Source organism: Homo sapiens, chromosome 15 (genome assembly GCF_000001405.40).
Source record: "Homo sapiens chromosome 15, GRCh38.p14 Primary Assembly".
NCBI lineage: Eukaryota > Metazoa > Chordata > Mammalia > Primates > Hominidae > Homo > Homo sapiens.
Genome location: NC_000015.10, coordinates 74918724 through 74939900, shown reverse-complemented (window position 1 = coordinate 74939900; position 21177 = coordinate 74918724). Strand labels below are relative to the sequence as shown.

The window sequence follows — 21177 nt, the reverse complement described above, 5'->3', positions numbered from 1 at the left end:
CAGCTGTTACATAGAAAGGCAAAGAGAAAGGTTAGAGCAATATTTTTAGGCTTTATGGCTGGCTTTGGGACAAAGGGGTTCTACTTTCTAGACCCCCTCTTGGGGAGGAGGGATTCTAGTTTCTGTGGCATGCCTGGAGGGAGAGTAAGGGGCAAGAGACAAGAGGGCAGAAGGTCAGAGAGAAACTGCTTCATAGGCCTTCACTTTGTGGTATTGTTTTCTAAGCCCCAGCACTAGGTTGGTGGGAAACGGTGAGGGCAGGTGCTTTGAAAACATTTTAAAAATCCTTTTCCCCGCCAGGTTCCTACCCACTGAAGCCACACTGCTAGGGAGGAAAAAGAGAAGGGCAGATGCTGAGGCCCTGGAGAGTCGGCCTGAAGTGAGGAAGTGGCACATGAATGGCCACCTTTTCTTTCCTCAGTGTGCCCAGGGATAGAGAATGGGAGACAGCAAGACAGAATACAATGTCTCATTAACTCTGGGCAGCATCCAGATACTTCAGGCCTGGGAGAGGTGTCCTTGACTGCCCAGGGGCTCAAAGTTAGGATGTAGCTAGTGAGATAAGATGCAACAACTGTGGAACTTGATCAACCCTATTTCAGAGCCATCGTGGATTCAGGAGCCCTCCTGTAGGAGATGGGAAACATTCAGGTGAGAGTCCTCAGAACTGGGGATGTGGCGAAAAGATCCTTGACTGCCAGCAGCAACCTAATTTCTGAGCCTCTTTCCTAATCTGTGAAATGAAGTAGTTTAACTCATTTTTTATGCAAGCTGGTTTGTGATATAAGAATATGTACTAATAAAATCCCTTACGCATAGGCCTTTTTTTTTTTTGAGATGGAGTTTTGATCTTGTTGCCCAGGCTGGAGTGCAATGGTGCGATCTCAACTCACTGCAACCTCTGCCTCCTGGGTTCCAGCAATTCTCCTGCCTCAGCCTCCCAAATAGCTGGGATTACAGGCATGCGCCACCACACCTGGCTAATTTTGCATTTTTAGTAGAGACAGGGGTTTCTCCATGTTGGTCAGGCTGGTCTCGAACTCCCGACCTCAGGTGATCCGCCCGCCTTGGGCTCCCAAAGTGCTAGGATTACAGGCGTGAGCAACCGCGTCCAGCGGCATTCTTTCCCCCATTCGCTGTTTTATTTTATGCCACAATGAGAAGGCGGGGCTAAGCAAAGTAGGTTTTTGTTTTGTTTGGTTTTTTTGAGACGGAGTTTCGCTCTTGTTGCCCAGGCTGGAGTGCAATGGCACCATCTCGGCTCACCGCAACCTCCTCCTCCTGGGTTCAAGCGATTCTCCTGCCTCAGCCTCCCGAGTAGCTGGGATTGCGGGCATGCGTTGCGCCACCACGCCTGGCTAATTTTGTATTTTTAGTAGAGACGGGGGTTCCTCCATGTTGCCCAGGCTGGTCTTGAACTCCCGACCGCAGGTGATCCGCCCGCCTCGGCCTCCCAAAAGTGCTGGGATTACAGGCATGAGCCACAGCGCCCGGGCGCAAAGTACGTATTTTTTATTATAGTTTGTTGTTATTGCTGTCATTCCTATTTTGAGGTGATTAAGTGCCCTCCTGGGCCTGACTCGAACAAGATCACGGTCGGTTGCTCCTCCCTCGCCTCCATTCCTACTTACAGGATGGCAGCTGCACGTCACCTGACCAGAGACAAGGCGGGACGCGAGGCTAACAGTTTGTCCTCAGCGCGCCGCCGTAGCCCCCGCCGCCGCCGGCCGCGCGGTGGCTCCTCCCGCCCACGCGCCAGAGTCGCAGTGGGCGGGCCTACGTGCTCCGCCCGCTGTGAGCCTGTCCGGCCCCCGCCCGCTCCGGAGCAACCCGCGAGCTTACACCGGCTTCTCTCTGTCCTCAGCCCGCGCGCCGCCATCGCCGTCATGCTGGGCGCCGCTCTCCGCCGCTGCGCTGTGGCCGCAACCACCCGGGCCGACCCTCGAGGCCTCCTGCACTCCGCCCGGACCCCCGGCCCCGCCGTGGGTAAGGCCCCTGCTTGCCACTGCCCGCGCCCTCGTGTCCTTGCGGTGACCTGGGTCCCCGCTGCCACTCCGGGGCGGGCTCTCCCCGGCCTAGCCCTTGCCCTACCCTGGTTACTGAACCCGGTGACCGCGGGCCGCCCTGCCCGCCGCCTCGAGTAGTGGAGGACCTGAAAGCGCGCCCCCGGGGCCTCCCCCCGCGCAACTTCCTGGCTGTGCCACCGCGGACAGGTCAGATGTGGACCTGCTGTGGGCGCCGAGGAGGGGACGCAGCGCTCCCCTTCGGTTCCCGGGCCATGACCCTGCCCCAGCGCCGACCCTGCGGCCACCTGACCGAGAGTGGCCGCCGCCGGCCTGCAGCGCCTCGGCGAAGGTGACATTGAGCCTCCGGGCACGCCGCTTGGGGTCCGAGGACACAATATACTTCCGTATGGGACACACGATTATACTTTTCAATCAGGCATTTCTCGGTTAGCGATTAGTGTGTCACCTTCACAGCCTTTTCCATCATTTTTAGGGTCTGCTGTGCCACGTTCTAATTCTTCCACGTTTAAAATAGATGGAAGTGTGTGGTTGTTTCCTGATCTCCGGAAGATAGCCAGAGTTTTGATAGGGCTTATGATAAAAATATCACTCTTTTGAAAACTGAATGTCACAGACACAGGAATACTGGGTTTTACAAGCATAGGAACGCTTCGTGTTTTTTCCCCTTTGTAATAGAAGCCTGATTGCTGGAGTATGAGACGTGCTTCTGATTTTTGTCTATTTTCCTTCCCTTTATATGTGTGCTGGGAGGTTTTGAGTCCACCACCATAGAATAATTACAGTAATTGCACTTCGATCTTGGTCCGTGAAATTTAGCTTCTATGCATGCATATTATATTTTATTTTTGAACCTGCATCACTGGCAACTATGCATGCGTATTTAAACATAAGAACTCAGAAACTCGTTTCAGGGTATGCTGAAGTTAAAAATTAAAAAAAGAACTCAGCCGGGCGCGGTGGCTCATGCCTGTAATCCCAGCACTTTGGTAGGCCGAGGCGGGCGGATCACCTGAGGTCAGGAGTTCAAGACCAGCCTGGCCAACATGGTGAAACCCTGTCTGTACTAAAAATACAAAAAATTTAGCTGGGTGTGGTGGTGGGCGCCTGTAATCCCAGCTACTCGGGAGGCTGAAGCACAAGAATCGCTTGAACCTGAGAGGCGGAGGTTGCAGTGAGCCGAAATCGCGCCATTGCACTCCAGCCTGGCCGACAGAGCGAGACTCCGTCTCAAAAAAAAAAAAAAAAAAAAAAGAATATGTTTTGCTTCATTCATTTTAGACTTTTATCATTTGTCGTAGAACCATAAGGCTGGAGGGTACTTTATTTTTGTTTATTTATTTATTTTTAAATTAGAGACGGAGTGTCCCTATGTTGCCCAGGCTGGGCTTGAACTCCTGGGCTCAGGTGATCCTCCCACCTCAGCCTCCCAAAGTTTGGGATTATAGGCATGAGCCACTGCAGCCAACCTAGAGTGTACTTTAGAGATCGTGGAAGCCATTTTATTTTATAGAAAAGGAAACCAAAGTCCATCTTGGGAAACTGACTCCTTGTTTTTTTTTGTTTGTTTGTTTGTTTTTGTTTTGTTTTGTTTTGTTTTGTTTTTTCTTGAGACAGAGTTTCGTTCTTGTTGCCCAGGCTGGAGTGCAATAGCACGGTCTTGGCTCAAGCGATTCTCCTGCCTCAGCCTCCGGAGTAGCTGGGGTTACAGGCACCTGCCACCATGCCCGGCTACTTTTTGTGTTTTTAGTAGAGATGGGGTTTCACCATGTTGGCCATGCTGGTTTCGAGCTCGTGAGGTCAGGTGATCCGTCTGCCTCAGCCTCCCAAAGTGCTGGGATTACAGGCGTGAGACACCACACCTGGCCGAAACTGACTCCTTTTTAATGGTGGAACCATTTTTGTTTCTTATAGTTATGTTTGGGCCATCCTGATGTTTGTTTAGATTTTGTGTTTTGCTAAAGTAACAGTACAATTTACATTTTTCAGCCGGACACGGTGGCTCACGCCTGTAATCCCAGCACTTTGGGAGGTTGTGGCGGGTAGATTACCTGAGATCAGAAGTTCCAGACCAGCCTGAACATGGCGAAACCCAGTATCTACTAAAAATACAAAAATTAGCCGGGTGTGGTGGCACGCACACGTGGTCCCAGCTTCTTGGGAGGCTGAGGCATTAGAATTGCTTGAACCCGGGAGGCAGAGGTTTGCAGTGAGCCGAAATCATGCCATCTCAAAAAAAAAATTTTTTATTTATTTATTTATTTATTTTTTTTTTTTGGTGATAGTCTCACTGTGTTGCCTAGGCTGGAGTGCAGTGGCACCATCACAGCTCACTGCAGCCTTGACCTCCTGGGACTCAACTGATCCTCCTGCCTCCACCTTCCAAGTAGCTGGGACCACAAGGGTGCGCCACCAGTTTTATTTTCCGTAGAAACAGGCTGGTCTGGGGACTCCTGGGCTCAGGAGTGCCTCCCTCCTCCCACCTTCCAAAGTGCTGGGATTACAGGTGTGAGCCACCATGCCCAGCCAAATTTTTCTTTTTCTTCTTCTGTTGTTGTGGTTTTGTTTTGTTTTTGTTTTTGTTTTTGAGACAGGGTCTCGCTCTGTCATGCAGGCTGCAGTGCAGTTGGCACAGCTCACTGCAGCCTTAACCTCCTGGGCTCAAGCCATCCTTCCACCTCAGCCTCCCAAAGTGCTGGGATTACAAGCGAGAGCCACTGCACCCAGCCTCAGTAACTCGTTAATGTGCCCTCATTCCTACAGTTACCACCACCAAAGTGTTCATTCTTTGGGCCTGTCAGGGTTGATTATTTATTAAATGGAAAACTATCCGATTTAACTAAATTTAAACCCAAAGGATCAATGAGCCCTTTTATTTTTCTATATATGTTAGCCTTTTTTGTTTTTAAATGGAGTGCTTAACTGAATGCCAAAAAGCAGTGTTAGAAATAGCTTTTTAGGATGAAGCCCTAAAAATGTCCTCATTTTTCACAGCTGCTTCTTTTTTCTTACTTTGGGACTTTCAGGTTACGTAAAAGCTCTGAGTAATTGTTTTCCAAAATAATTTGCCTTTCAAGCTTCAATACTAGGTGGAGATCCTGTTCTTAAGTGGGGTGGGGTGTGTGGGGCAGAGAATGCTAGTAGAGTTTACCTAAAAAAAGTTAAGCATGTGGGGGATGTGTCCATAGCTAATAGAATAGATCCTGCTTTACCCATTATTGGATTTAACAATATAATTTAAATCATGGCCGGGCATGGTGGCTCACGCCTGTAATCCCAGCACTTTGGTAGGCTGAGGCGGGCGGATCACAATGTCAGGAGATCGAGACCATCCTGGCTAACGCGGTGAAACCCCGTCTCTACTAAAAATACAAAAAAATTAGCCGGGCGTGGTGGCGAGTGCCTGTAGTCCCAGCTGCTGGGAAGGCTGAGATAGGAGAATGGCGTGAACCTGGGAGGCGGAGCTTGCAGTGAGCTGAGATTGCGCCACTGCACTCCCGCCTGGGCGACAGAGTGAGACTCCATCTCAAAAAAAAAAAAAAAATTTAAATCACGTGGGGAGAGTCTGTTTTAGCCCTTCAGAAAGGGATGTATGGGTTTTTAAATTTTTATTTATTTTAATTTGTTTGATATAGAGTGTTGCTCTATCACCTAGGCTAGAGTGCAGTGGCGCAGTCATAGCTCACTGCAGCCTTGTTGCCCTGGGCTCAAGGGATCCTCCCGCCTCAGCCTCCTGAGTAGCTGGGACCACCAAACCCCGCTAATTTTTTAAGTTTTTTGTGGAGAATGGAGGTCTGTCTTTGTTGCCCAAGCTGGTCTCTCAGTCCTGGCATCAAGCGATCCTGCCTTGGCCTCTCAAAGTTCTAGTTCTGTTTTATAAAAGACTTTTTGGAATACAACCAGTTTGTAATTTGGCTTCCAGAAGACATATGATCAAATCCTTGAAGGTGGTGATCTCCTTGACTTGGATTTGCTGTTGGTGGTCATCTTATTCACAGTTAGGAAACAAAGCCTAGCACTCATGTAGTCAAATCCATGCCCAGCAGTGAACAAAACGAATTGCTTATCATGAAGCACTGTTGTGGATGGGACAGGTAATTACCTCTGGGGAAGGAGTACATAGACCTTTCATTGGGTAAATACTTAGGAGTGGAATTACTGTGTTATATGGTAGGTTTGTGTTTAACTTGATAAGAAACTGCTTAAACCGTCTTCCAAAGTGATTGTATCATTTTATACTTGCACTTTCAGTATTCAGTTAAGGCTAGCTTTAGTTTTTGAAGAGGTGGCTTATAATTTTTTCTTTTTTGAGACAGGGTCTCACTCTGTCTCCGAGGCTAGTGCCACTGCATCTGGCCCTAAGTTCTTGATAATAGTGCATTAGATGGTTGTTCTAATCTATGTTTTTACATAGATAGATAGATAGATAGATAGATAGATAGATAGATAGATAGATATTTTTTTTTTTGAGACGGAGTCTTGCTCTGTCGCCCAGGCTGGAATGCAGTGGCACGATCTTGGCTCACTGCAACCTCCCTGGGTTCAAGCTATTCTCCTCCTTCAGCATTCCAAGTAGCTGGGACTACAGGGGTGTGCCACCACGCCTGGCTAATTTTTTGTATTTTAGTAGAGACAGGGTTTCACCATGTTGGCCAGGCTGGTCTTGAACTCCTGGCCTCAAGTGATCTGCCTGCCTCAGCCTCCCAAAGTGCTGGGATTACAGGTGTGAGCCACCGCACCTGGCCTTGTTTTCTGATATATTAAATTTGAATATTAGTCTTGTAAGACTTATTAAATATCCACGTAGTTTTGATTAAATGTTCATACTTACCAGACATATTTAGGTGTAGAGATCCATTTTTTTCTTGTTGTAGAAATTAAGGCTGGGCACCGTGGCTCATGCCTGTTATCCCAGCACTTTGGGAGGCCGAGGCAGGCAGATCATGAGGTCAAGAGTTCGAGACCAGCCTGACTAACATGGTGAAACTTTGTGTCTACTAAAGATACAAAAAATTAGCCTGACATGGTGGCGCATGCCTGTAATCCCAGCTACTTGGGAGGCTAAGGCAGGAGAATCACTTGAACCCGGGAGGTGGAGGTTGCAGTGAGCCGAAATCGTGCCATTGCACTCCAGCCTGGGCGACAGGGTGAGACTCTGTCTCAAAAAAAAAAAAAAAGAAATTAAAACGTGTTCACTTCTAGTCCATTTATGTACATGTTCCACTTCATTCTGGGCTTGGATTATGTAGGTAATTTAGGTCTCTGGGAAGATCTTTTCTGCTTCGTTTTTTTGCTACTCTTCCTCCTGCCAGTTACTGCATTAAAGATATATAGGATATTACTAATGTTTAAATTTCAGTGTTCTTAGAACAACAATGTTGAGAGGTTTCTGGGTGAAGTTTTTAAAAATATATATATATGTATGTTAAGGCTGGGCATGGTGGCTCACACCTGTAATTCTAGTATTTTGGGAGTGGTAGGATTGCTTGAGGCTAGGAGTTTAAGACCACCCTGGGCAACATATCAAGACCCCCATCTCTAAAAGTAAATAAATAAAAATATGTTAAGCCTTAAACAACTGGAAGTTACACCACACTTATCTAATACAGGTAGTAGGAAATGTGATTTGAGATAGGTTTCATTTCTTTAAGTTATGATTTCTATAAATAGACAACTAAGACGTTTTTAGATAAGGGTTAGTTTATAGCTACCATTTGTTTAATACTTACCAGTGCATAGTGTTAACCTACCTGTTTTCACATTTAATCTTCATAATCTGCTAAGGGGGGTAGCGTCCCCATTTTACAGATAAGGAAAATAAACTTAAGTTAATTTTCCAGGGTCAAACAGAGAGAGCGAAGAGCCTAGAGGTATCTGAGTGCTAGGTTGTGCTGCATTCAATACCCAAAGATAAAATTTTCTGCCTCCGCCTATCCCCCTACCTGTTCCAGAGGCTGTTCAGAAGGAATTCAGATTTCCAAACTCAATTCAGTGTCCATTTGACAAGAAGAAAGAAAAAATGGGGCTGGGTGCAGTGGCTCGCGTCTGTAATCCCAGCACTTTGGGAGGCTGAGGTGGGCAGATCACTGGAGGTCAGGAGTTCGAGACCAGCCTGGGCAATGTGGTGAAATCCCGTCTCTACTCAAAATACAAAACTTAGCCAAGCTTAGTGGCGCTCGCCTGTAGTCTCAGCTACTCAGAAGGCTGAGGCAGGAGAATCACTTGAATCCAGGAGGCAGAGGTTGCAGTGAGCTGAGATTGTTCCACTGCATTTCAGCCTGGGTGACAGAGTGAGACTCGATCTCAAAAAAAAAAAAAAAAAATGGAAATGCTTTTCATACAGTACTCTATGTAAACATCATTTCTTTTTTTCTTTGAGACAGAGTCTTGCTGTGTCGCCCAGGCTGGAGTACAATGGCATCATCTCACCTCACCTCAACCTCCGCCTCCTGGGTTCGAGTGATTCTCCTGCCTCAGTCTCTCGCGTAGCTGAGATTACAGGCGCCCGTCATCACGCCCAGCTAATTTTTGTATTTTTAGTAGAGACGGAGTTTCACAATGTTGATCAGGCTGGTCACAAACTCCTGAACTCAGGTGATCCACCAGTCTCAGCCTCCCAAAGTGCTGGCATTACAGGTGTGAGCCACTGCGCCCAGCCCAAAATATTCCTAGTAAAACAGTATTATTTTGCATTAGGTGTAGATTAGAGTGTACGTTCCCTTAGGGGATTTATCAGAATATTTTGGGAAGGGGCTGTAGTTTGATAAAGCAATTTGTATGTGTAATTTGTCAGGATGTGTAATTTATTTTGGAATATAATAACATGAGAATTTTTTTTTTTTTTTTTTTTTTTTTTTTTTGAGACAGAGTCTCGCTCTGTTGCCCAGGCTGGAGTGCAGTGGCGTGATCTCTGCTCACTGCAAGCTCCGCCTCCTGGGTTCACGCCATTCTCCTGCCTCAGCCTCCCAACTAGGTGGGACCACAGGCGCCCGCCACCACACCTGGCTAATTTTTTGTATTTTTAGTAGAGACGGGGTTTCACCGTGTTAGCCAGGATGGTTTCGATATCCTGACCTGGTGATCTGCCCATCTCGGCCTCCCAAAGTGCTGGGATTACAGGCGTGAGCCACCAAGCCCGGCCCGAGATTTTTTTTTTTTTAATGTGTGAATGAAGTATATAAGTTTATTTAAGAACTTGAATGGTGCCAGGGCTGGTGGCTCACACCTGTAATCCCAGCACTTTGGGAGCCAAGGGAGGAAGGAATGCTTGAGCCCAAAGAATTTGAGGCTGCAGTGAGCTGTGATTGCGCCACTACACTCCAGCCTAGGCAACAACAGAGCGAGAGCCTGTCTCAAAAAAAAGAACTTGAATGGACATTAGTATTGCTCTTAGTTTTTTTTTTTTGTTGCTTTTTTGGTTTTTTTTGTTGTTGTTGTTTATTGTCTTTTTTTTTTTTTTTGAGGCGGAGTCTCGCTCTGTCGCCAGGCTGGAGTGCAGTGGCACAATCTTGGCTCACTGCAACCTCCGCCTCCTGGGTTCAAGCAATTCCCCTGCTTCATCCTCCCGAGTTGCTGGGACTACAGGCACGCGCCACCACACCCAGCTAATTTTTATACTTTTAGTAGAGATGGGGTTTCACCATGTTGGCCAGGATGGCCTTGATCTCTTGACCTCTTGATCCACCCGCCTCAGCCTCCCAAAGTGCTGGGATTACAGGCGTGAGCCACTGCGCCCGGCCTAGTCTTAGTTTTTTAGTTTTTGTTTTTGTTTTTGTTTTTGTTTGTTTGTTTGTTTTTTGAGTTGGAGTCTTGCTCTGTCGCCCAGGCTGGAGTGCAGTGGTGTGATCTCAGCTCACTGCAACCTCCGCCGTCCAGGTTCACGCCATTCTCCTGCCTCAGCCTCCCGAGTAGCTGGGACTACAGCCGCCCGCCACCACACCTGGCTAATTTTTTGTATTTTTAGTAGAGACGGGGTTTCACCGTGTTAGCCAGGATGGTCTTGATCTCCTGACCTCGTGATCCGCCTGCCTCGGCCTCCCAAAGTGCTGGGATTACAGGCGTGAGCCACTGCGCCTGGCCTATTCTTAGTTTTTAGAAGTGGGGTGTCGCTGTGTTGCCCAGGCTGGAATGCAATGGCTATCTTATCAGGTTCTGTCATATTGTTAGCACCCTACGACCTTGAACTCCTGGGCTCGGGTAATCTTCCTGCCTCAGCCTCTGAGTAGCTGGCACTACAGGTGTGTGCCCCACTATGCCCACCTGGGACATTTTTACTTAGGAATTAATACTCTGGTTATGTGTAAAAATTCAAACAATATGGAAGTATATAAAGTAGTTTTTACGTCCCATGATAATCACTGTTAATTTAAAATCAGAGGGAACCACTGTTAATAATTTCAAGCGAGTATTATACATTAGGGAGAAAAGTATAAACATGCCTATGTAATACTTTTTGTTCTACTTGATTTTATTTGCTTAATTTAAAATATATCTTTCTGTATCAATGTATACGATGTATTTCATTTGACCTGTTCAATATTTTTGCTGCCACAACATATATAGTCAACTCAAAATTTAATGCATTGAACAAAATATATCAAGTACTATTTGTGTACATTGAAGTTATGGTTCTTTCACATTATAGCTATCCAGTCAGTTCGCTGCTATTCCCATGGGTCACAGGAGACAGATGAGGAGTTTGATGCTCGCTGGGTAACATACTTCAACAAGCCAGATATAGATGCCTGGGAATTGCGTAAAGGTAATTGGAACATAAACATATTTGTCTATTTTGGTGTGTAAATATGAACTGCTTCTGCTCCTTTATTGAGAGCAACTGTTTCGAAAACATGCGTTGTTTAAACTGGTTACTTCATGCAACTTGCAGTTAGGAAAGTTTATGGCTACCTATAAAGCAGGATTTTAAGGCAGGCACTATTGACATTTTGGGCCAGATAATTCTTTGTTGTAGGGGACTGTCCTTTACACTGTAGGGTGTTTAGCATCACCTTTGGCCTCTACCTGCTAGGAGCCAGTATGCACACATTCGTATCATGACAACCAAAAATGTTTCTAGGCATTACCCAGTGTCTCCTGAGGGATGAAGTCACCCTTAATTGAAAACCACTGCTATAGCAATAAGGCTAGATGAGCAAAAGGTAACAGTTTTGTACATTTCAAACAATTTACATAGCACGGGCGCGGTGGCTCACGCCTGTAATCCCAGCACTTTAGGAGGCCAGGGTGGGCGGATCACGAGGTCAGGAGATCAAGACCATTCTGGCTAACATGGTGAAACCCCGTCTCTACTAAAAATACAAAAAAATTAGCCGGACGTGGTGGCGGGCGCCTGTAGTCACAGCTACTCGGGAGGCTGAGGCAGGAGAATGGCGTGAACCCGGGAGGCAGAGCTTGCAGTGAGCCGAGATCGCGCCACTGCACTCCAGCCTGGGCAACAGAGTGAGACTCTGTCTCAGAAAAAAAAAAAAGAATTTACACAAAGCAGTCATTTGGTTCCCTTCCCCTTTGGGTGATGGTTTGGGTTTTTTGTTATTTTTGCATTGTTTTGCCATGAATAAGTATCTAAGTAAGTTAGAACTTGTCTTTCCTAAATTTGCAGATGCACACTTAACATGAAAAAATAGAATTAGGTGTAGGGTAATTTATCTCATACCAAAAATTCAATCTCAATGACTATCGTATTCACTGGTATCCTTTGTTTAAATATTTTAAAGTAATAAAAGCAAGAAACCTAAGTGCTTTAAACTTCTCTGCAGAAATGTAATGATTCCCTTTTGCTACAACCAATAGAATTCTTACTGAACAATCTGGAGTAGAAGTAATAAAAAGAACAATTATGTATTCCCATTAAGAGAATCTTAAATTTTATTATGTGTCATTTTGTGCAGATCTGAAAGTAATCATGCCCAATCATTTTCTGGTTGAATGTTTATGAGTCTGTGTACTAATGTTTCTCTATAATATCTCCTTAATGTCCTCATTTAGGCTTCATTAACTCTACGCATTTCTCTGGCTGTTTTTAGGCTGTTTTCCAGTTGAATCTCTTTTATTTTGGTTTTTTTGTTTGTTTGTTTTGTTTTGTTTGAGATGGAGTTTCTCTCTTATTGCCCAGGCTAGAGTGCAATGGCGCGATCTCAGCTCACTGCAACCTCCACCACCTGGGTTCAAGTGATTCTCCTGCCTCAGCCTCGAGAGTAGCTGGAATTACAGGCATGTGCCACCACGCCCGGCCAATTTTGTATCTTTAATAGAGACAGGGTTTCTCCATGTTGACCAGGCTGGTCTTGAACCCCTGACCTCAGGTGATCCACCTGAGCCCAGCCTTGAATCTCTTTTAAAGCATCCAAAATGTGTTCATTGTACTAAGAGTTAAAGATAGGAGGGCCGGATGTGGTGGCTCATGCCTGTAATCCCAGCACTTTGGGAGGCCGAGGCAGGTGGATCACGAGGTCAGGAGTTCAAGGCCAGCCAGGCCAAGATGCTGAAACCCCGTCTCTACTAAAAATACTAAAATTAGCTGGGCTTGGTGGCACCCGCCTGTAATCCCAGCTACTTGGTAGGCTGAGGCAGGAGAATCACTTGAACCCAGGTGGCAGCGGTTGCAGTAAGCTGAGGTGGCACCACTGTACTCCAGCCTGGGTGACAGAGCAAGACTCCATCTCCAAAAAAAAAGTTAGGAGTTGAAAATGACCCTCTTGTTCTCAAAGGGGAAAAAAAAAACTCAGGATTTTTTCCTTCAATCTGCGTGCTGTTGCATAGTTCTTTCTTTCCACTGATTCACTAAGGGAGATCCACTGTGATCTTATTATCTAGAATTTGTTAAAGGTAGGTTTCTCTCATTTTATAGGTAAGAGAATGGAGACCCAGACAGATAAGATCATACATCAGTGATTCAGTAAAAATATAAATAACTCATAGTTTAAGTGAGGCTCTTCGAGGTTGACATGGCCCTTCTTTTTAATTTTGCAGGGATAAACACACTTGTTACCTATGATATGGTTCCAGAGCCCAAAATCATTGATGCTGCTTTGCGGGCATGCAGACGGTTAAATGATTTTGCTAGTACAGTTCGTATCCTAGAGGTTGTTAAGGTCAGTGAAATAATAATGCTAAAATTGTTCTGTAAATGAGTGGGCTATTGCTGAGGTATCAGAATATTCTGTATTTTTGAATTTGTTAAAATGCCTAAAATGAGTCCTTATATAACTAGAAGGAATGTACATTGCAGTTAAAATCTTTCTAGAGGCTACTTTGGCAGCATTTATTCAAGGCCTTACAAATTGTACATGATACACTTTTGTTCAGCAATTCCATTTAAGAATTTATCTTTTTTCTTTTTTCTCTCTTTTTTTTTTTTCTTTCTTTTTTAAGAATTTATCTTGGCCGTGTGTGATGGCTCATGCCTGTAATCCCAGCACTTTAGGAGGCTAAGGCGGGTGGATCATGCAATGTCAGGAGTTTGAGACCAGCCTGGCCAACATGGTGAAACCCTGTCTCTACTAAAAATATAAAAATTAGGCCAGGCGCGGTGGCTCACGCCTGTAATCCCAGCTCTTTGGGAGGCCGAGGCGGGCGGATCACGAGGTCAGGAGATCGAAACCATCCTGGCTAACACGGTGAAACCCTGTCTCTACTAAAAATACAAAAAAATTAGCCGGGTGTGGTGGCAGGCGCCTGTAGTCCCAGCTACTCAGGAGGCTGAGGCGGGAGAATGGCGTGAACCCGGGAGGCAAAGCTTGCAGTGAGCCAAGACAGCGCCACTGCACTCCAGCCTGGGTGACAGAGCAAGACTCTGTCTCAAAAAAAAAAAAAAAAAAAAAAAAATTAGCTGGGCATGGTGGCACATGCCTGTAATCCCAGCTACTTGGGAGGCCCAGGCAGGAGAATTGCTTGAACCCGGGAGGCGGAGGTAGCAGTGAGCTGAGATCGCACCATTGCACTCCAGCCTGGGCAACAAGAGAGAAACTCCGTCTCTAAAAAAAAAAAGAAAGGAATTTATCAAGGAAATAATAAAGGATATATAAAGATTTAACTACAAAGTGTATTCATCTTCTTGCTATTTGTCATACGAAATGTTAGGAATTCTTAAGAGGGAGCTTCCCAGAACTGGTTATACTACACAACTGTTGATACTGTAGAAATGTGTTTGACTTTAAACATATTTGTGTCGGCTGGGCACGGTGGCTCACGCCTGTAATCCCAGCACTTTGGGAGACTGAGGCAGGTGGATCACCTGAGGTCAAGAGTTCGAGACCAGCCTGACCAAGATGGAGAAACCCCATCTCTACTGAAAATAAAAAATTAGCCGGGCGTGGGGGTGCATGCCTGTAATCCCAGCTAGTCGGGAGGCTGAGGCAGGGGAATTGCTTGAACCCGGGAGGCAGAGGTTACAGTGAGCCAAGATGGCACCATTGCACTCCAGCCTGGGCAACAAGAGAGAGAAACTCCATCTCAAAAAATATATATATACATTATATGAAAACATAGGAGGATATATACTAATTTTCCTCCTTCTTATTTGGTCATAATTTCTGAGTTTATTTATTTTTTCGAGACAGAGTCTCACTCTGTCGCCCAAGCTGGAGTGCAATCATTGCGTGATCTCAGCTCACTGCAACCTCCGAGGTCTCCTGGGTTCAAGCAATTCTTCTGCCTCAGCCTCCCGAGTAGCTGGGATTACAGGCTAATTTTGTATTTTAAGAGACGGGGTTTCTCCATGTTGGTCAGGCTGATCTCAAACTCCTGACCTCAGTTGATCCGCCCGCCTCAGCCTCCCAAAGTGCTGGGATTACAGGCGTGAGCCACCACGCCCGGCCGGCACTTTCTTAGTTCTTTTGACTTCTTATTCGTTCCTAAGGAACCTTGTGACAGCACAGGTGTAACTATATATTACAGTGAAAAGTCTCCAGCCCTGGACATATGTATTCTCAAAGTACAGCTCTCCATGAAAAGATACTGTGGTCTGTAAGAAAGAAACTTAAGGTCCGTTAACAGCAAAAGTGTGACATTACTTTATCTATAATGGGTAAGATAATTAAGGGTTCTGTAGGCTATCAATCCATTCAGCACTGGTAGTTAATTCAGTTAAGGTCTCAAATTGGAGGCAAATGAAAAAACTTTTCCCGTTAACTTAATTATTCGTGTTGCCTGCTGGGCATGTCTAATTGCCTTCACAAAATTCTGTCATCACTACCTTCTTTTCCAGTAATTCTAGACTTTAAGATGTTCTGGATTTAGTCCAATTGCAGTTATTCTCAAGGTATTTCAAAAGCCTACCTTGAACAGTACATATATAAGTTGCCCTCTTTATTTTTATTTAATTATTATTATTTTTTTGAGACAGAGTCTCGCTCTGTCCCCTAGGCTGGAGTGTAGTGTCATGATCTCAGCTCACTGCAACCTCCGCCTCCCTAGTTCAAGCATTCCCGAGTAGCTGGGATTACAGGGGCGTGCCACCACACCCAGCAAATTTTTGTATTTTTAGTAGAGACGGGGTTTCACCATGTTGGTCAGGATGGTCTCGAACTCCTGACCTTGTGATCCACCCGCCTTGGCCTCCCAAAGTGCTGGAATTACAGGCATGAGCCACGGCACCCAGCAAGTTGCCCTACTTACCGAACAAATGTGTTAACTTAAAAGTAGATGACCTGTTTTGTTTTGTTTTGTTTCGTTTTTTGAGATAGAATCTTGTTCTGTCACCCAGGCTGGAGTGCAGTGGCGTGATCTTGGCTCACTGCAACCTCCGCTTCCCGGGTTCAAGCCGATTCTCCTGCCTCAGCCTCCCGAGTAGCTGAGATTACAGGCATGTGCCACTACACCTGGCTGATTTTTGTATTTTTAGTAGAGACGGGATTTCACCATGTTGTCCAGGCTGGTCTCGAACTCCTGACCTCAAGTGATCCGCCCGCCTCAGCCTCCCAAAGTGCTGGGATTACAGGTGTGAGCCACCATGCCCAGCTGATCACCTGTATTATTCTGTCCTACCTGCCTCTGCATAAGTAATTAAAGGCATTTTTAAGTTCATTTCATGAATTAATAGACATGGCTTTTGAGAGAGTTAAATGTGAATATTCTCTTTGCCATCAGGACAAAGCAGGACCTCATAAGGAAATCTACCCCTATGTCATCCAGGAACTTAGACCAACTTTAAATGAACTGGGAATCTCCACTCCGGAGGAACTGGGCCTTGACAAAGTGTAAACCGCATGGGTAAGCGACAAACCACTGAAGAAGGCAGGAAAACAATCCAGAGAGGTGTGGGTGGATGACATTTCAGTGTGCTATAGTAAGACCTTTCAGTGTTCTTGTTAGAGGTAATGGCCGTGAGCATGAAGAGATTTTGAGAATACCAGTAATGGTAAATTTAAAGAACTGAAATGATTTCTAGTTGTTGTCATTATTTTCTTTCTTTCCTTCTTTTCTTTCTTTCGTCTTTTTTTTTTTGAGATGGAGTCTTATTCTGTTGCCCAGGCTGGAGTGCAGTGGTGCAATCTAGGCTCGCTGCAGCCTCCGCATCCTGGATTCAAGCCTCAGCCTCCCAAGTAGCTGGGACTACAGGCCACATGCCACCACAACTGGCTAATTTTTGTATTTTTAGTAAAGACGGGATTTCATCCTGTCGGCCAGGCTGGTCTCAAACCCCTGACCTCATGATCCACCTGCCTTGGCCTCCCAAAGTGCTGGGATTACAGGCTTGAGCCACCGCGCCCGGCATCATTATTTTCTTACTGGTAGAAAGACAAATAAAAGCCACCTTAATTAAAGAAAAATCTTCATACAATATTCTAGGCATAAACAGTAGCATAGATGATAATATAGTGAGTCTGTGTACACATATCCAGATTTTCAGATACTTTTATTGTTGCCACATTTGCTTTGGTGTGTTTAAAGTATTTCTATTTGGGCTGGGCACAGTGGCTCACGCCTGTAATCCCAGGACTTTGGGAGGCCGAGGCGGGTGGATCACAAGGTCAGGAGTTCGAGACCAGCATGGTGAAACCTTGTCTCTACTAAAAATACAAAAATTAGCTGGGTGTGGTGGCATGTGCCTGTAGTCCCAGCTACTCGGGAGGCTGAGGCGGGAGAATCACTTGAACCCAGGAGGCAGAGGTTGCAGTGAGCCGAGACTGTGTCACTGTACTCCAGCCTGGGTGACAGAGTGAGACTCTGTCTCAAAAAAAAAAAAAAAAAAAGACTCAACTTGGCTGGCAGCAATGGCTCATGCCTGTAAGCTCAGCACTTTGGGAGGCTAAGGTGGAAGGATTGCTTGAGTTCAGGAGTATCAGGAGTTTGAGACTGGCTTGAGCAACATAGTGAGACCCTGTCTCCTTTAGTTAATTAAATACATACATACATAGAAAGAAAAATATTCAGAATTCAAGGAATTTTTATATTCAGTCTTCCTGTTGAGAAACTGAACAGAAAATGCTGAAAACTTTGTAATCTACTTTTAAGATTTTTTTTTTTTTTTTTGAGACGGAGTCTCACTCTGTCACCTAGGCTGGAGTGCAATGGCATGATCTCGGCTCACTGAACTTCCGCCTCCCGGGTTCAAGCCGATTCTTGTACCTCAGCCTCCTAAGTAGCTGAGATTACAGGCATGCACCACCATGCCCGGCTAATTTTTGTATTTTTAGTAGAGACGGTTTCACCATGTTGGCCAGGCTGGTCTTGAACTCCTGATTTCAGGTGATCCACCCGCCTCAGCCTCCCAAAGTGCTGGGATTACAGGCATGAGCCACCACGCCCAGGTGGGATCTCGTTTTAAAGCTTGCTTTAACGGAGTGGTCTTTTTGTTTGTTTTTGTTTAATTTATTTATTTTTAATTTTGTTATAGAGACAGAGTCTCACTATGTTGCCCAGGCTGTTCTTGAACTCCTGGGCTCAAGTGATCCTTCCACCTTGGCCTTCCAAATTATTTGGGTTTCAGGTGTGAGCCAAAAGCAATGGTCTTTTCATTTTATCTTTGTCCACCCCCTCACCAGCACAACCTCCCTGAAGTAGCTCATCTTTATAATATATGCAATGGTTTTGACTTCTGTGAGTACTTAAAGAAAACTAGTTGTTCAGAATGGAAATTTTCCTAGTTATACTTTTGAAGCTCTTGTTTGTTTTTTGTTGTTGTTTTGAGACGGAGTCTCACTCTGTCGCCCAGGCTGGAGTACAGTGGCACGACCTCTGCTCACTGTAACCTCTGCCTGTTGGGTTCAAACAATTCTCATGCCTCAGCCTCCCTAGTAGCTGGGATTACAAGTGCCCACCACCATGCCCGGTTCATTTTTGTATTTTTAGTAGAGACCGGGTTTCGCCATGTTGGCCAGGCTGGTCTTGAACTCCTGACCTCAGGTGATCCACCCGCCTCAGCCTCCCAAAGTGCTGGGCTTACAGGTGTGAGCCACCGCGTCTGGCCCTGTGATTGATATTCTTTTTCTTTTTTTTTTTTTTTTTTTGAGACGGAGTCTGGCTCTGTCACCCAGGCTGGAGTGCAGTGGCATGATCTCGGCTCACTGCAAGCTCCGTTTTCCAGGTTCACGCCATTCTTCTGCCTCAGCCTCCCGAGTAGCTGGGACTACAGGCACCCGCCACCATGCCCGGCTAATTTTTTGTATTTTTAGTAGAGACGGGGTTTCACCGTGTTAGCCAGGATGGTCTCAAATCTCCTGACTTCGCGATCTGCCTGCCTCGGCCTCCCAAAGTGCTGGGATTACAGGCGTGAGCCACCGCGCCCAGCCCTGTGGTTCATATTCTATAATGAACTCCTAAAAGATGGTTTTAGTTTTCATTTTATCAAGTATTATTCCAAGGGGTCCAGAAGATCTTTTTTATGTAGGATATATTCTAGCTATACTAACTTTTTTTCTTTTTTTCTTTTTTTTGTTGGGAGACAGAGTCTTGCTCTGTCATCCATGCTGAAGTGCAATGAAGCGATCTCGGCCCACTCCAACCTCCGCCTCCCGGTTGAAGAGATTCTCGTGCCTTAGCCTCCCGAGTAGCTGGGACTGCAGGCATGGGCCACCACACCAGGCTAATTTTTTGTATTTTAGTGGAGACGGGGTTTCACCGTGTTGCCCAGGGTGGTCTTGAACTTCTATGCTCAGGCAATCCATTCGCCTCGGCTTTCCAAAGGGCTAGCGTTACAGGCATGAGTCACCGTGTCCGGCCCAAAAAAAATTTCTTTTGTTAAATGGCAGCTACTGGACACTTTTCTGATTGGGAAGGAAGTACCAGTGTATAAACAACAAAAAAGCCACAAAGCTAGTCGCTTGTGGGTTGACAGTAGGCAGGATTAAGTAAGAGCAGTAAAGGGTACAGAGAGACAGTGATTTCCCTGGTTGTAGCACTAAGGGTTATTTTTAAAAGATTTCTACTTTTTCTTTATTCTTTCCTGGCTAATTCTTTGTGTTTTCTCTTACAGATGGGCTTCCCCAAGGATTTATTGACATTGCTACTTGAGTGTGAACAGTTACCTGGAAATACTGATGATAACATATTACCTTATTTGAACAAGTTTTCCTTTATTGAGTACCAAGCCATGTAATGGTAACTTGGACTTTAATAAAAGGGAAATGAGTTTGAACTGAAATTAGGTATTTGTTTCATGTGTTTGCATTAATAAGCAGAAAATTAAGTGCTGTATTGGTTTCATGGTTTTGCTGCCCTCTTACATGCTGAGAGAACTGTGTTAATTCTCTGGAAACCATCTGACATGAAAATCAGCTTCATTAATATGTTTGGGTGCCCTAGCTTGTAAATTAGCTGAAGGCTAGAAGTCATTTATATAGAATTTTCTTGTTGACACCCTAGGCTTAGGGGACTGGTTGTCTGTGGGGATAGATCAAATTGTGTACCTTTCCAAAACAGGTTTTAATGATGTTTAAAAGTGGTCACTGAGATAGTCTTGAGGATGTGCTATGCAGTAGCCAAGCCCTCTTACGGTGTGTTCCTCTCTTAGTGCCCCTTTCCTTTCCTACCTGTTCTTCCCTTGCAGTGGTGTATTAGCCTTGGACATTAAAACATTTGCTTTGTAAATTTGGAGGCATTCTGATTAAACAGCTGAGTAAAACAAATCCTGCTTGTCTTAGAAGCGCCATAATACTAGAACCAGCTGCTGGATAAAGAGGTTCTAGATCTGGGTGACTTCTAGTATAGCCAGTCCAGACTGCAGTATTAGGGAAATTGAATTAATATTAGCTTGAAATTTAGATGTCTTCTCTCCTAGAGCCATGTAAGGGATTGTTATTAAAATCAGTTTTGGTGAAGTTCTAATACTAGTGAGACCTTTTATAAAGGCTGATCCGCTACCAGAAAACCCCCTGCCCAGTTTTTAGGAAGTAGAAATGTGAAACTAAAATGGCACATATTTTTAATGTATAGTTGGTAGGCCATGGTTCTTAGGTTTGATCCCACTGTGGGCCAGCGCTTTCCTCCTCACTGCCATAAAAATGGTCTCGTTCCTCATGTCATGGGAGGAGCAGAGGAAGGAACATAGGGTCACAGTTATCTATGAGGGTGAGATAAATGCTGTGATGGTCTTCATGCTACAAAAATTTGTCGAACACCTACTGTCTAACAAACATGCCAGGCACTGAAGGTAAAGCAGTGAACAGGAGAGACAGTGAATATTGGAACCTGGAGACACTGGAGGTAGGGATAAAAGTTAGGCACAGTGTGGTTATAACTTAATGGGGATTTTGAATTAGGGTAGTAGCCATAGGAATGGAAAGGGATGAATTTTGAGAATCACATTATTGAGGTGTAGTTAATAAGTAATTCGATGAGGGGAAATGAGAACTCTGGGAAGGCCATTTTTGAGATTTGAGTGGTGATGCCATTCATACAGGAGTCAGCAAAAGGAGGACCTTGGTGCAGAGTGGAGAAATTGCTACATTTGATTCTGGATCTGTTAAATTTCAGGCATCCGTGGGCTAGTTACGACAAGAGCTCTGAAAAGAGACTGAGACTAGAGAAAAGAATTTAAGGTTTGAAACAGCAAAAAGTAAGACTTCCAAGGAGGCTGTTTGGAGGCAGATGTGAACTACGTTGAAGGCCGAAACTGGAAGCAGGTACATTTAGAGGGAAAGAAGAGAGCAACTTTAGTAAGGTATAACTTACATGCAGCCAAGTGTGCAAATCT

General features: G+C 45.3%; 1 protein-coding gene across 1 annotated transcript, besides 1 other annotated feature; it reads left to right on the top strand.

Annotated features, from left to right (window-relative positions):
- Positions 1575–2134: a silencer, noted in NCBI's record as "silent region_6661". NCBI's record gives its function as "represses an Ori minimal core promoter by ATAC-STARR-seq in GM12878 lymphoblastoid cells {active_cell/tissue: GM12878}" and the evidence as "EXISTENCE:reporter gene assay evidence [ECO:0000049][PMID:35858748]".
- On the top strand, positions 1828–20110 carry COX5A (cytochrome c oxidase subunit 5A). Its single transcript, NM_004255.4, has 5 exons — positions 1828–1986; positions 10669–10785; positions 13014–13135; positions 16131–16253; positions 19459–20110. The coding sequence occupies exons 1-4, from the start codon at positions 1887–1889 to the stop codon at positions 16242–16244; spliced, it is 453 nt and encodes a 150-aa protein (NP_004246.2). The 5' UTR covers positions 1828–1886; the 3' UTR covers positions 16245–16253; positions 19459–20110.
- The last annotated feature ends 1067 nt before the right edge of the window (positions 20111–21177 follow it).